This window comes from Homo sapiens, chromosome 12, assembly GCF_000001405.40.
Source record: "Homo sapiens chromosome 12, GRCh38.p14 Primary Assembly".
In the NCBI taxonomy this organism is placed as follows: domain Eukaryota; kingdom Metazoa; phylum Chordata; class Mammalia; order Primates; family Hominidae; genus Homo; species Homo sapiens.
In genome coordinates, this window is record NC_000012.12 from 69,861,591 (window position 1) to 69,878,412 (window position 16,822).

Below are 16,822 nucleotides of genomic sequence, written 5' to 3' on the forward strand. Positions count from 1 at the left end.
GGTTGTTTGTTTTTTTCTTGTAAATTTGTTTGAGTTCATTGTAGATTCTGGATATTAGCCCTTTGTCAGATGAATAGGTTGTGAAAATTTTCTCCCATTTTGTAGGTTGCCTGTTCACTCTGATGGTAGTTTCTTTTGCTGTGCAGAAGCTCTTTAGTTTAATTAGATCCCATTTGTCAATTTTGGCTTTTGTTGCCATTGCTTTTGGTGTTTTAGACATGAAGTCCTTGCCCATGCCTATGTCCTGAATGGTAATGCCTAGGTTTTCTTCTAGGGTTTTTATGGTTTTAGGTCTAACATGTAAGTCTTTAATCCATCTTGAATTAATTTTTGTATAAGGTATAAGGAAGGGATCCAGTTTCAGCTTTCTACATATGGCTAGCCAGTTTTCCCAGCACCATTTATTAAATAGGGAATCCTTTCCCCATTGCTTGTTTTTGTCAGGTTTGTCAAAGATCAGATAGTTGTAGATATGCGGCATTATTTCTGAGGGCTCTGTTCTGTTCCATTGATCTATATCTCTGTTTTGGTACCAGTACCATGCTGTTTTGGTTACTGTAGCCTTGTAGTATAGTTTGAAGTCAGGTAGCATGATGCCTCCAGCTTTGTTCTTTTGGCTTAGGATTGACTTGGCAATGCAGGCTCTTTTTTGGTTCCATATGAACTTTAAAGTAGTTTTTTCCAATTCTGTGAAGAAAGTCATTGGTAGCTTGATGGGGATGGCATTGAATCTATAAATTACCTTGGGCAGTATGGCCATTTTCACAATATTGATTCTTCCTACCCATGAGCATGAAATGTTCTTCCATTTGTTTGTAACCTCTTTTATTTCATTGAGCAGTGGTTTGTAGTTCTCCTTGAAGAGGTCCTTCACATCCCTTGTAAGTTGGATTCCTAGGTATTTTATTCTCTTTGAAGCAATTGTGAATGGGAGTTCACTCATGATTTGGCTCTCCGTTTGTCTGTTGTTGGTGTATAAGAATGCTTGTGATTTTTGTACATTGATTTTGTATCCTGAGACTTTGCTGAAGTTGCTTATCAGCTTAAGGAGATTTTGGGCTGAGACAATGGGGTTTTCTAGATATACAATCATGTCATCTGCAAACAGGGACAATCTGACTTCCTCTTTTCCTAATTGAATACCCTTTATTTCCTTCTCCTGCCTGATTGCCCTGGCCAGAACTTCCAACACTACGTTGAATAGGAGTGGTGAGAGAGGGCCTCCCTGTCTTGTGCCAGTTTTCAAAGGGAATGCTTCCAGTTTTTGCCCATTCAGTATGATATTGGCTGTGGGTTTGTCATAGATAGCTGTTATTATTTTGAGATAGGTCCCATCAATACCTAATTTATTGAGAGTTTTTAGCATGAAGGGTTGTTGAATTTTGTCAAAGGCCTTTTCTGCATCTATTGAGATAATCATGTGGTTTTTGTCTTTGGTTCTGTTTATATGCTGGATTACATTTATTGATTTGCATATATTGAACCAGCCTTGCATCCCAGGGATGAAGCCCACTTGATCATGGTGGATAAGCTTTTTGATGTGCTGCTGGATTCGGTTTGCCAGTATTTTATTGAGGATTTTTGCATCAGTGTTCATCAAGGATATTGGTCTAAAATTCTCTTTTTTGGTTGTGTCTCTGCCCGGCGTTGGTATCAGGATGATGCTGGCCTCATAAAATGTGTTAGGGAGGGTTCCCTCTTTTTCTATTGATTGGAATAGTTTCAGAAGGAATGGTACCGGTTCCTCCTTGTACCTCTGGTAGAATTCGGCTGTGAATCCATCTGGTCCTGGACTCTTTTTGGTTGGTAAGCTATTGATTATTGCCGCAATTTCAGAGCCTGTTATTGATCTATTCAGAAATTTATTTTCAGTGGTAACTCGAGGGACAACAATCTACATACCTAACCTCTTGCAGTCAATTTAAAGATATTTTACCACTTCACATGAAAAGTAGAAACCTTATAGCCATAAAAGTCCCATTTCTCTTTCCCTTTTATATTGTAGCTATCATGTGTATTGCATCTATATATATTTAAAACTCTATGAGACAATGCTATAATCTTTGGTTTCAACACTCATGTATATGTTGAGGAACTTAAGAGAGAAAAAGTAGGCTATTACATTGACCCAAGCATTTCCCATTTTTGTTGGTCTTCTTCATTTGGGAAGTTCCACAATTCTTTCTGGCATCATTCTTCTTCCACCTTAGGAACTCCCTTTAGAATTTCATTTAGAGCAGATTTGTTGGTGATAGATTTTCTTAGTTTTCTTCCACTGAAAATGTCTTTATTTCAACTTCATTTTTAAAAGACATTTTTGCTGAATATGAAATACTTGGTCATTAGAGTTTTTTCCTCCCACAGCATTTAAAAAATGTTGACCCACTGCCTTCTAGCCTCCATGGTTTCTGATGAAAAATAAACAGCTATTTGAATCATTGTTCCCTTGTATGTAATACATCATTTTTCTCCATCTGCAAGATATTTTCTTTATCTTTGGTATTCAGCAGTTTGATTATATGTTTCTAGGTATGAGCCTTTTTTTATATTGTACTGTTTGGGATTTGCTCAAATTCGAATCTGTAAATGTATAGTTTTGACCACATCTGGGAAATTTGTAGCCATTGTTTTTTAACATTTATTTTTCTTTACCAGTGTCTTTCTTTTTCCCTTCTAGAACTCCAAGAATGCAAATGTTAGACCTTTGATATTTTGCACAGGTCACTGAGGCTCAGTTCATTTTTTTTTCAATCTTTTTTCTCTCTGTTGGTTATATTGGATAATTTCTATTGATTTGACTTTAAGTTCACTGACTCTCCTCTGTCACTGTCATCTCCATTCTGTTATTGAGCCCACCTCAGCATACCTGCAAATACCCCTACCCTCCTAAGACAGAGAGTGAAACCAGGCCTGAATCCTCAATAGTAGTGGAGAAACCTGTATGCAGATATTTCTGGTACCTGGCTCTTATTACTCTCTGCCAAGAGAAACTTCCTTGGCAACAAACTGTGGGAAGAAGGTGAGTTCAACATTTTTCAAGGAAGTTACACACACACACACACACACACACACACACACAAACACACACACACACACACAGAGCTAGTAGGTTGCCAAATGTCTGAGCCCACACTCTGAGCTGGCTGTTCTGTGCTAGGCGCTGCATGGGCTGAACTCAGATCCTAATTGCCCCTGTGCCTGCCCTCACATTCCTCTCACTACATCCCAGTAACTTGTATGAATTGTGGACAATGGATATATCCTTTTCTCTGACCTGGAAGCAACCTGCCAAAAGTTGTATGGTCTCTCTCCTCTTAAGTGTCTTCTCCTAAAGCGAATGTTCCGCTGATTCCACCTGGGTTCTGTATAATCATCTAGACTACTTTTTATAACTAACAGAAAGACCTTTAGCTGTTTAGAAGGAAAAGTGAACAAAGGTCTTCATCAAAGAGCTGTCTTTTACAGGGATGGAAATGTGTGATACCATTCCTTGTCCATCATAATGGTCACAACCAACACTCCTATAACAAAAGACAGGCTAACAAGAGAAAAGCATAAACAATTTACTTAATTAAAGTTTTATGTGATGCAGGAGTCTTCAGAAATGAAACCCAGAGACTCAGGGAAAACTATTTTTATTTTTATGCTTGGGTTCAATGAGGAGTGAACAGCTGTGTAGAAATGTAAGTGGACAAAAGGGTGTGATCTAATGGTAATAGACTGAGGGAGGAAACCCAGCAGGGTCTGTTCAGATTTTTCTTGGCTTCTCTTTGTAGCATTGCTTCTTCCAAGGTATGAGGTAGGGTCTCTTTGGAATGAGAGTCCCCTTGGAATGAGACAGAAGGGAGAGAGTGACTTTTCTGGGTTTTATGGCTCGCTTTATGGGGAGGAGTTCTAGTATCTATGAACCATCTTGGGGAAGAAGAATTATGGTTTCTGTGATTTGCTCTGAGGGAGAAAAGGGGGTGAGAGACAGGAGGACAGGGGAAGGTCAGAGATACCTTGCTTCTGAGGTCCTTCCAGTGTCCTTCATTTCAAAGTACTCAGCATGCCAAGGCACCATACTTTGGGGTATTGTGTTCTGAGCTACCTGGGAGGTCTGAAATCTGCCTTATATTTTAGTCTCCGTGATAATAATGGTCCTTCCTACCAGACCAGAAATATCTACCCATAGGCTTCCCCCTTGCTATTGAGATTCAGGACTGGTTTGCCCAAGAGGCTTCACTCTCTACCTTTGAGGTGGGTGATGGGGCTTGCAGGTGAAGTAGAAGAGGAAGTTACTATTGCTGAGCATTTACTAAGTGTTGGGCATTCTTTGCACTTCATATATTCACTTATTTAATTATATATTTGATGTAATATATCTCGTTCTCTTAACTCTTCCAAATAGGTATATTATCTGTGTTTTACAGATGGGGAGGATAAGGTGCAGAGAGGTTAAGTAACTCTTCATAGGTCAATACGTGGCAAAGCTGAGATAAAAATCTGCCTGGCTCTAGAAACATGCCTTTTCTTCCACATGAAGCTTTTAGGTTAATTGATATTTTAAAGGAATGTGAATCTCAGGGAAATACATGAAATGTGTCTAAAATTATCTACCAAATGGTGTGACTCAGAGTAGATCCGAGCCATAGTTCATAAAGATTGTCAGAGTTCACGTTCATTAAAGGAGAGCCCTATGATCAGATAACCTATACTTGATTAAAAAAATGCTCAGATGCATGCAGTTAAGTGGAACTGCAATAAAATCTCAGTGAGAACAAGCAGAAACATGGCTAGTCCATGACCGCAGGGACACTGGGCTAGTTCAATGATCATTAGATCTGTACAACCTGTTCAAATACTCCAAGTTTTAAGTATTTCTAAATACCAGGGTATTTATGCAGGTTAGTTTCATTTCATAGTTTCATATCACAACAGCACTGGGATGCAGGGTTTTTGTTTTGTTTTGTTTTGTTTTTGCCTGGGTACTAGAGGTGGGATTCAGACCTGGGTTTACTACAAATCATGTTACTTCCCCTCTACCATATTGCCTACAATGTGTGTCTTCTAAAGATATCAGTGTCAACCCTTTATCTCAAAAACCTAAGAGACCACTGGGCTGCAAAATTTCTGAGAGCTAGCTGAAATCTCATAGGCAGATTTTCAGATCTTAAATATATTAAAACATTGCATTATTGGCCTTATGAAAAAGGACCAAATGCTCTATAAAAAACTTGTCCCATTAGATGCTGTGAGGAAAAATGTTCCATGGTCAGTAAATTAGCTTGTGACTCACTGGCTTAAACAAAATTACATGAGTGTTTTTACTGCAGGACTTCTCAGTGCCTTTAATGTGCTAATGTGCAACTAGGTAAGAGAAACGGAATGAAGTGTTCCTCAAACTTATTTGGCCGTGGGCCCCATTTGGGACGCATTATTCATGTATGAACATGTATAAGGCATGTATGCAGAGCTGAGGGCCGTCCTGTCAACATGTGAAGGTTTGTGTAAATTGCCCTTAACTCTTTATTTCCTTATGTGGTAGAGTTTGGGTTAGTTGTCTGCTTAGGAGGAGCAGGCTGAGGTCCTCTCTGATTTCCTAGGTTAGCCAGACAGTTACCCACTTGGTACACAGTTGAGCTACGGTGGTGGGACATACTAGGAAATGTCCAGGTATGCAATGCTGCTTTGAGAGGGGGAGATTGGAGAGACTTAGGGGAAGAATAAAACCCTGAAACTGCAATGAAAAAGGGCAAGAAGTGTTATATGCACGTGTGTGCAGGGAAGGTAAGGGTCTAGAAAAGAGACTAGTAAATCTTCAAGGCAGGCTAAATTAATGCAGTTTGGTTTGAGTCAGTGTGCTTAGTAGGGGTAGATAAAATGAGCTTTAGCCTTTGAGATCTGGTATAAGGGTAGGAGGGAACTAGCTGAGGACACTGGTGTTTGAATAGGGGACGTCACAGGAGGGGAAACTTAGAGACATGTTATATCTGTGAAGGAATCAACGGCAGGCTTCATTTTATTTCGTTCTAATGTTTGAGCTTAAGCATCTAATATTATGGGTTTAACTTAGGACTTGGCTTATTGGGTTTGGGTGGCAAGATGAATTAGGAGTCAATTACCAGCTGCATGTCTTGGTTCTGCCATCACTATAGTGGGGTTGATAAGCTCTACTGTGATGTTTCAAAAGGGCGTGAGAGAGTACGTGGAGTTCTGTGAGAAGAGCTTGTTAAAGACTATTTGAGTTCAGTGACTGGTTTGACTTCTGAGTTCAAACTGATATAATAAGAGAAAGCCTGAAGAAGAAGACTGGGCTAAAACATTATCTGATACTCCTTGATTCTAAGGATATCTGTGCCAGATGAAACGACCTATAATAATAAGTAATTTTATTAGAATGGTCTGTATTTAAAATACCCTGTTATTTAGAGGATAAACTCTGGTGGTAGACCATCTGACTCCAGCTCGACTAACTGCCAGATGATAATCATGAGTGAATTATTTAACCCCATCAAGCCTCGGTTTCTTTTTTTTTTCTTTTTTTTTTTTTTTGAGACGGAGTCTCGCTCTGTTGCCCAGTCTGGAGTGCAGTGGCACAATCTTGGCTCACTGCAGCCTCCACCTGCCAGGTTCAAGCAATTCTCCTGCCTCAGCCTCCCGAGTAGCTGGGACTACAGGTTTGCGTCGCCATGCCTGGCTAATTTTTTTGTATTTTTTTTTTTAGTAGAGATGGGGTTTCACCATGCTGGCCAGGCTGGTCTCAAACTCCTGACCTTGTGATCCACCCGCCTCGGCCTCCCAAAGTGCTGGGATTACGGGCATGAGCCACCGCGCCAGACCAAACCTCAGTTTCATTGCCTGAGGATTAAGTACAATGATGGTACCTTTTCATATGAGAGTTGTGGAGGTTAAATGAGACACACATGCAAAGGGTTAGCATGGTGCCTGGCTCAGAGTAGGTTCTCAAAAAAGTTTCTCTACATCTAAAGCAGCAGCGGAGGGGTGTGAAAGGGTCAGATCCTTGCAGTCTGCCAGCACAGAGCTGGAGGGGAGGAGTGGCATCTTCTTTGCCTTGTTTTTTGCTGCCATATCATGAAATGGTTTTCTTGGGCAACCATACTCATTGACAACATTTCTGCCAAAACCCTTTCCTGTATCAACTTCTAGATGGTGGTTACAAGCCCTAACTGACCTTGATCAAGTATTTATTGAGTGCCTGTCACAGTCTCCCCATTGGAGCACTATGGAGTGCACATGTACACACACATGCACAGCATGCACACATGTGCACACACACGCGCACACACATGCACTCACACACACGTACGCACACGCGCACACACACATGTACTCACACGTACACACAGATATGCACTCACACATGCCCACATGTGCGTGCACACATGCACTCACACATGCACACACACATGCACACACATACACTCACACACAGAGTAGGAAGACATATTCTTAATGTGAAAGTTCATGCGGAAAGATAAATCATATACATGAAAAATTGGAGGAAATACTTTAAATAACAACCATTTTTATAGTTGGAGGATGGGGTAAAACAGTGAACAAAACAGATATAATCCCTGCCAGTAGCTCCCCAAGGGCAGTGTGGTGGGTACAGTCTGCCCTGGCAGGGCACCCAGGCATTTTTCTTAGAATTGGTGATGCATGGTGATAATAAAAAGCAGACTGACTCTTTGTAGGCTTAGTATTGTTTTCAAATTGTCTACAGACAATGCATTTCCTTATTGCCTGCACCTGGGGTGAGCAATTCCCATCCCCTCATCCTTGGCACACCATTACTGTCATGCCACTCCGGTGGGAAGAAAAAGACAATGGCAGGTAGTCTAAAGTCACTCAGTAAGATGAAGACAAATAAGAGTAAGGCAAGGAGGAGAGGCTACCATTTTAGATTGGGTGGTCAGGAAAGCTCTCTCCTGATATATGGATTTATATATACGGCATATTCATGGTCATATGTAGTTTAACACAGTCTTTCGTATTTGTTATGCACCAACTCTGTATTGGGCACTGTGCTGAGCCGAGCTCAGTGTGAGGTGCAATAGAGCTTTAGAGAAGGGGCGGTTGGTGTTGTATGAAGGCACCGAGGGATTCATTGGAGAAAACTAGGATTGGATGGCTCAATTGTGAGTATCCCACCTAGATATTCACATGAAGACACACTGTGTATGTGTCTTGCCTAATGTCTGGTAGAGTCATGAGCACAGTAGGCACTCAGTAAAGACTTAGTAAGCCTGGTTGCAATATGAAAGAAATACTGGCTGCATTGAGGGCAGCATATATGTCATGGATGTACATATCACCTCAACTAGCTGGAGGGCAAAGTCTATTTTGTACGCCCTCTTTTGGTTCACATAGATTCAACCCCTGGGAGATTGTTTCTCCGTTCATCCTCCAAAAGACAAAAAACAAGTTGTATGTCTGAGAGGAAGGAGTTTAGAAGGCAAATTATTTTATTTTTATCAGCTGCTAAGAATCTCTTGATTTTTCTTCCTTTTTTTTTTTTTTTTTTTTTTTTTTTGGGACAGAGTCTCACTCTGTTGCCCAGGCTGGAGGGCAGTGTTGAGATCTCGGCTCACTGCAACCTCTGCCTCCTGGGTTCAAGCAAGCACGTCTGGCTAATTTTTTTTTTTTTTTTTTTTTGGTATCTTTAGTGAAGACAGGGTTTTGCCATGTTGGCCAGGCTGGTCTTAAACTCCTGACCTCAGGTGATCCACCCGCCTCGGCCTCCCGAATCTCTTGATTTTTACAACTCTTTCCTGCTGAAGCTAGAGACAGGGTTGGCCGCTCAGGGTATGACCCATAGTGTCTGTTGCTCTCTGGTGTTTGTCTGCTTTATGGAAATCCTTTTGGTATAATAGACAAGTTTGGCGCACAAAGACTGAAACACAGTCTGATGTGCATTTCTGGGATTCTTGACATGACGATTGTGAGTAAAAGGGGCTAAGAAGTGAAGAAAAAATACCAAACAAGTGTTTTACTAGGAGCTAATCATTGCTCTTGTTTTAACAATTTGGTCAGTTTGAAGGTAGCTATCATTAATTCTCCCTTCAAATTCTCTGAAAAGAAGTGCAAAATTTCTCTAACTGTATTTAAATGCATTGAGCATGGAAGCATATAAAATACAATGAAATAAAGGAGTAGCTGTGGTGAATTTTGGAAGGGGAAGGAACTCTAAAGACAGCATTTAATATTTTAAAATCTTCATCTTAAAACCACCAACACATATTCCTGTCACTCAACGCAGGGACTTTTGGTTCTCGTTAAGGGACTGCTGGATGGAGACTGCATTCCTGTTTACAATATGCCAAGCCATATTTTTTTTAGTAGATTGATCATTTAATTGTGATTTTCAGTTTTTATTACATTATTGAATTCAATGATGCCTGTAGTGTCAGGGTAACTAAACAACTGCCTAGAGCCTTAAATGTGGAATTATGAGATCACAGAGTCAGTTACAAAATTTAATTTATAGACCTAGAGTGATACATGTGAAGAATTTAAGAAGTCAAATGATACTGTATATAGCATATAATAGGAGATTACCAGCAATCCCCCTGCTCTACCCCTGTCTTTAAATTGGCTCCCCCAGAGGCAGCCACTTTCCAACTCTTTTTGGATATTTCTTTTTTTTTTTTTTTTTTTGAGATGGAGTCTTGCTCTGTCGCCCAGGCTGGAGTGCAGTGGCACAATCTTGGCTCACTGCAAGCTCCGCCTCCCGGGTTCACGCCATTCTGCCTCAGCCTCCCGAGTAGCTGGAACTACAGGCACCTACCACCATGCCCGGCTAATTTTTGTATTTTTTTTTAGTAGAGACAGGATTTCACCGTGTTAGCCGGGATGGTCTTGATTTCTTGACCTCGTGATCCACCCACCTTGGCCTCCCAAAGTGCTGGGATTACAGGCGTGGGCCACCGCGCCTGGCCCTCTTTTTGGATATTTTTATTGCCCTATATCTAAATAATGTTTTTATATTGCTTTTTTGCTGTATACACTTGAAGAACATAATATAATCTTCTGGGAAGATTTAATTTTCTTATATCACATCTTACATTCACTTCTACACTCAGCTTCCCAATATCATAAAATTGTCTAAAATTTTTTAGTTATGTCAATATCCAGGGCTTACATTATCATGATGTGTCACATATAATTTTCATTTTTTTTTGCTTTGTTTGAATCATTGCCTTGTTTTTACAATTTGTTTGGCTTTGGTTCCCTCAAGTTCTCTAAAAAGAGCTGAAAATTTTTCTCAATGTTAAAAATAATCAATTCTTTTCCTCGTCAATAAACTCCTCAATCCATGTATGTCTTTAGTGACTTTTTGGTTCTATCAACTTGTTCTCCCCATTGTGTTCTATCATCGATGAAAGAGGAATGTTAAAATATTTAGCTATGTGATTGTACAATTGTCTACATCTTTTAGTTTCATTAATTTTTGCTTTGCGTATTTTGAAACTCTGTTATTAAGTACATAAACAATCATGATTCCTATGCCTTCCTAAAAAATGACTCTTTTATTATTAGAAATGAGCCTCTTTGTCTGTGGTGGTACTCTTTATTTTGAAGTCAGTTTTAGCTATTATTCATGAAACTGCTTCACCCTTCTTGTACACATTTTTCTCTTGGTTAACTTTTGACTTATCTGTGTCTTTATATTTCAAGTGTTTTTGCAGGCAAAAGAGAGTTGCTTTTTAAAAATCCATTCTGATCATTTCTGCCCTTTTTCCCCCTTAGGGACAGGGTCTCACTTTGTCACCTAGGCTGAAGTGCAGTGGCATGATCACAGCTCATTGTAACCTCAAATTTCTGGGCTCAAGTGATCCTCCTGCCTCACCCTCCTGAATAGCTGGGACTATAGGTGTGCACAACCACACCTGGCTAATCTTAAATAAAAAAAATTTTTTTTTTTTGAGATGGAGTCTCGCTCTGTTGCCTAGGCTGGAGTGCGATGGCATGATCTCGGCTCACTGCAACCTTTGCCTCCTGAGGTCATACGATTCTCCTGCCTCAGCCTCGTGAGTAGCTGGGATTACAGGTGTGCGCCACTGTGCCCGGCTAATTTTTGTATTTTTAGTAGAGATGGGGTTTCACCATGTTGGCCAGGCTGGTCTTAGGCTCCTGACCTTGTGATCCACCTGCCTCGGCCTCCCAAAGTGCTGGGATTACGGGTGTGAGCCACCACGCCTGGCCTTTACATTTTGTTTTTAGAGACAGGGTCTCACTATGTTGCTGAAGCTGGTCTTGAATTCCTAACCTCAAGCAATCCTCCTGCCTCAGCGTCCCAAAGCACTGGAATTAGGTGAGCTACCGTGCCTGGCCTAATTTCTGCCTTTTAATGGGAGTGTTTAATCTTTTAACATCTAATGTAATTATTAGTATTGCACAATAGACCTCCTTATTCATGGAGGATATGTTGCAATACCTCTACTGGATGCCTGAAACTGAGGGTAGTACCAAACCCTATATATGCTATGCACAAATTTCTTTTTCTTTCTTTACAGTTTCATGAATAGAAGATTAATTCTTACAGTAGATCAGGGGTGTCCAATCTGTTGGCTTCCCTGGGCCACATCGGAAGAAGAAGAATTGTCTTTGGCCACATGTAAAATACACGAAGATTAATGATAGATGATGAGCTAAACCAAAAAAAAATCAGAAAAAAATCTCATAACGTTTTTTACAAGTTTACAAATTTGTGTTGGGCTGCATCCGTCCTGGGCTGCATGCAGCCCACGGGTGGCGGGTTGGACAAGCTTGCAGTAGATTCTAGCAATCTCAGCACACGATTTTTTTTTCTTTCCTTACTATGTCAAGAATTTTCAAATGTTCACTTAAAGGAAGTACTTTGTGGCTTCTCTTGGGCATATACAAATTGCCAACTTTACATGTCTTGTGTTTGGAACCATTATAAAGTAAAATAAAGGTTACTTGAACACAAGCAATGTGATATCGTGGCAGGAAATCCGTCTTTGTCTTAGGCTACTAAGACAATGGGTGGGTAGTGGATACAGTGTGGATATACTGGAAAAAGGGGATGATTCATGGTTTATGATTTCATCATGCTACTCAGAATGGAGTGCAATTTAAAACTTACAAATTATTTATTTCTGGAATTTTCCATTTAATATTTTTGGACCAAGGTTGATTGTGGGTAACTGAAACCTTAGAAAGTGAAACCATGGATAAGGGAGGACTATATCTGTAGTTAAGTCTGACATTTAATTATTTGTCTGTCTTTTTTTTTTTGGCCCCTTCTGTTTCTTATTCTTCTGTAACTCCTTTCTTGGTTTATTTTGTATTGTTTGAATAATTTTAGAATTTCATTTTATCTGTTGACTTTAGTTCTACTTCTTTGCATTATTTAACTTTTTACAGTTTACTTAGAGTTAATGAGTTAATATTGTACCACTTTACATAAAATGTAGAACCATCAACAATGTAGTTCCATTGATCTCCAACTCCCATCCCCTATGCTATAGCTGTCCTAAGTATTATACCTATGTGCATTATAAACTTCACAAAATCATAATTTTTACTTTAAGCACTCAAATGTATTTTATTTTGTTATTTTATTTTATTATTATTTTTGAAATAACTTCTCAGCCTGTTGCTCAGGCTAGGGAGCAGTGGCAACTCATGGCTCACTCAAGCCTCATTCTCCTGGGCTCAAGCGATCCTTCAGCCTCAGCTTCCTGAGTAGCTGGGAGCACAGGTGCATGCCACCACGCCCTGCTAATTTTAATATTTTTTGTAGAAACAGGGTCTTCCCATGTTGTCCAGGCTAGTCTTAAGCTCCTGGTCTTAAGCAACTCTTCTCCTTCGGCCTCCCAAAGTGCTGGGATTATAGGCATGAGCCACTGTGCCCACCTTCAGATGTATTTTTAAAAATTAAGATAAAAAATAATTTACATTCAATAATATATCATTTTTATTCTCTTCATACCTTTTCATAGTTTCAAATTTCCATCTAGAACCATTTCCCTTTAGCCTGAATAACTGTCTTTAACATTTCTTATTGTACATGTCTATTCTCAAATTCACTTAGTTTTCTTTTATCTCAAAATATCTTTATTTTGCTTTCATTCTTGAAGACTATTTTCATTGGATATCAAATTCTGGCTTACCAATTTTGTTTTTCTGTAGCACTTTAAAGATGTTTTTGTACTGTCTTCTGGCCTCTGGAGATTTTGATTAGTCAGTGATTATTTGAATCACTATGACCCTGCACATAAGGTACTGTTTTTCTTTAGCTACTTTTAAGACTTTCTCTTTATTTTTGGCTTACAGTTACTCCACTCTGATGCGGTAGATGTATTTATTTTGCTGAGCTTCTTAAAGATATAAATGTATGTATCTTTAAAGATATAAATGTATATATCTAAGATATATACATTTATATCTTTAAGAAGCTCAGCAAAATAAATACATCTACCACATCAGAGTGAAGTATATATCTTCATAAAGATATATACATTTATATCTTTTCCTAAATTTAGGAAGATTTTGGCTGTTATATCTTAATTTTTTTTTCTGTTTCATCCTCTCTGCAGGTTCATAAATCTCTTTTTCTCTCTCTTTTTTAAAGTTCATTTTTTTCCTCTCTGTTGTTTAGATGGGATGATGTCTATTGATGTATCTTTGAGTTCTGTTTTAAGCCCATCTAATAATTTTTTTAAATTTTTATTTCTGGAATTTTTCTAATCTTAGAATTTCTATTTAGTTTTTTTATTTGTAGTTTTGATTTCTTTGCTGAGATTTTATTTATTTTTTTTCACAAGCATGTGCTTGTCTGCTCCATTTAGCTTCTTATAGTAGCTGCTTTAAAGATCCTTGTCTGCTAATCCAGTATCTGGATCATTTCTGGGTTAGTGTTCACAGATTGTTCTCTCCCTCCAAGCTAGGCCACATTTTTCTGGTTCTTTGTAGAGAGCAGTTTTTCCAACCCCTGCCGGTGGACTGCTACGGGTCCATGGCCTGATAGGAACCTGGCTGCAAGAGCATTCCCGCCTGGGCTCTGCCTCCTGTCAGATCAGCAGCGGCATTAGAGCGGCATTAGGAGCGGGAACCCTGTTGTGAACTGCACAGGCGAGGGGGATCTAGATTGCATGTGCCTTATGAAAATCTAACTAACGCCTGATGATCTGAGATGGAGCAGTTTCATCCCGAAACCATCCCCCGCCCCCACTACGTCCATCTCTTCCATGAAATCAGTCTCTAGTGCCAAAAAGGTTGGGGATTGCTGTTGTAGAGTAGTTTTTGTACCTGGACATTGTGAATGGCTGGATTCTTTTACATCCCTCAGAAGAGTATACTTTTGTTTTAGTAGTCAATCACTTTGCTTAGACTCAAATTGTAAACTTTGTCTCGGGAAGTAACTCAAATTTCAGTTCAGTCCTGTTGTCTTTGGTTGGGCTGTGCGCAGTCTGCCCCATATATGATAGATCAGGAGTCAGCAATAGATTTGGCAGAGTTACACACAGAATCCAGGGGTCCCCTGCTCTTATCTTTCTTTTCCAAGATTCCTCTTTCACTTTTCAGCAGCTGTGTTTGCCCCAAAATTTGTTTTCTGGTTATTCAGGCCAGGAAGGCTGTGGATTTCTATCGGAGGTTAGCTGTCCTGTGGCTCTGACTTCAACCAGCCCTCAGACTAAATGCTGTAAACAAGAAACTCACTGTATGGCAGTACCTTCTCCAAGTTTCAGTGCCCACCACAATCTCCTTGCTTTTGTCTAGTTTCCAGTGTCTTTGGGTAGGTGGTGTTTTTTGTTTTGTTTTGTTTTTGTTTTTAAAGTATTTCCAGCATTTGTACTGTTTCTCTGTGGGAGGGTCAGATTTGGTAGGAGTTTAATCATCATATAAGAAGGGGGAAAAAAAAACGAAAAGAGCTCTTTGTGATTCTTTAGCATTCCCTATTTATCTGGTTTTGTTCTCTGTCTTTAATGTTAAAGCCTTTCTCAAAATGTCTGGTCCTTTATTGTTTGTTCGTGTTTAAAAAGTTCTGTGTGCAAACCATTGTTCTCATCCAAGGATGAATTTCTTGGTAGAGTGATGAAGGAGGGGATGGCTATTTCCTTGGTAACTTGAAAATACTACGTTTTCCTCGAGTACATTCCATTTTTCTTGGGAACATTATTCCAATTTCTTACTTGTGGGAAATCTGCTTGGATACATGCAAAACAGAGTTAAGGAAAAGACTCAGAATTCAGTGGTTAGATTTTTAATGAATTCTTCTATTTTTTCAGCCCAGTAGCTCAGCCACAGCATTCACTGTGCCTGGTAACCCTGTACCACAGTTTCCCTGGGACCATTTCTCTAGAGAGTAAACCTTTCCAACTTCTGTTGGGGTGATGGAGGTAGCTTTACAGGGTGGGGAAGCTAATATAAGGGTCCAGGTCTTTCTTTCTTTCTTTCTTTCTTTTTTTTTTTTTTTTTTGAGACGGAGTCTCGCTCGGTCAGCTAGGCTGGAGTGCAGTGGCGCGATCTTGGCTCACTGCAAGCTCCGCCTCCCGGGTTCACGCCATTCTCCTGCCTCAGCCTCCCGAGTAGCTGGGACTACAGGCGGCTGCCACCACGCCTGGCTCATTTTTTGTATTTTTAGTAGAGACGGAGTTTCACCGTGTTAGGTGGGATGCCCTCGATCTCCTGACCTCGTGATCCGCCCGCCTCCGCCTCCCAAAGTGCTGGGATTACAGGCATGAGCCACCGCGCCAGGCCTCCAGTTGTTTCTTGTTCAAATGTTCAACCAATCCTTTTGTTTTCAGCTCCACCCTTAGCCCTGAATGCAGAAGCTCATGGTGACTCCTGCGTCCTGGGCTTTTTGAGTTTTGTTTGATTGGAAAACTTCTTGTTGGATCCCTCTGTTCCCTCCACCATTTCCAGGCAGTCTTGGTTGTGTTTTGTCCATTCTACTAGTTCAGTTATCATCTATTCTATTTCTGTCTGCTGCCATGTTATTAAAATTTGGTCTGCTGGGGTCTCTGCTCATATTCTTTATTATGTCTCTTTATTCCTTTACATTTATTTGAGTGGGATTTTTGGAGGAGAGTAGATGTGTGTCCTCTCTTCCCTTATTAATAGGAAGTGAATAAATTATAAAGAACTAATTTGAGGAGAAAACAACTTTTCTGATAAATGATAAAAGCAAGCTTTTCATCGTATTATGTTGGACTTTTAAACATACTAAACTTGAAGCTTCCTCTTCAAGCAAGAGAATCAAGTAGAGGTTGGGGTGCTTATGTATGATGCAGCATCACAGAGATGCTGAGCTATAAGCAACTTGTAGGTCTTTTGAAACAGAGATTTTCACACTTCTTTAGTGGTAGTACACATTTTTTTAAAAATAAAATTTTACTGGCTGGGTGCCATGGCTCACGCCTGTAATCCCTACATTTTGGGAGGCTGAGACAGGCAGATCACCTAAGGTCAGGAGTTCAAGACCAGCCTGGCCAACATGGTGAAACCCTGTCTCTACTAAAAATACAAAAATTAACCAGGTGTGGTGGCAGGCGCCTGTAATCCCAGCTACTTGGGAGGCTGAGTCAGGATAATCACTTGAACCTGGGAGGTGGAGGTTGCAGTGAGCCAAAATCATGTCACTGTACTCCAGCCTGGGTAACAGAGCAAGACTCCATCTCAAAAAAAAAAAAAAAAAATTACTTGCACTTCAATATATAAAACAGAAAAAAGTTATTTTCTCCTCAGCAATTTAAAGTGTTCTTGTTATACAACCCCTGAACTCCTTTTAAGAGCTTTGGGATCCCTTTGCGCCCAGATGGAAAATCATTGCTGTAGGGACAGCAATTTA

The 16,822-nt window shown here is 39.9% G+C and overlaps 1 protein-coding gene across 1 annotated transcript in view, besides 1 other annotated feature; it reads left to right on the plus strand.

The window, feature by feature from the left end:
* The window catches only part of MYRFL (myelin regulatory factor like), a 133,871-nt gene that overhangs the window by 36,364 nt on the left and 80,685 nt on the right, over positions 1 to 16,822 (plus strand). The window lies entirely within an intron of this gene.
* Positions 10,214 to 10,383: an enhancer, noted in NCBI's record as "experimental_30867 CRE fragment used in MPRA reporter constructs". NCBI's record gives its function as "activates a minimal promoter by MPRAs in K562 erythroleukemia cells, with activity observed for the introgressed 12:70265669 variant allele {active_cell/tissue: K562}" and the evidence as "EXISTENCE:reporter gene assay evidence [ECO:0000049][PMID:34662402]".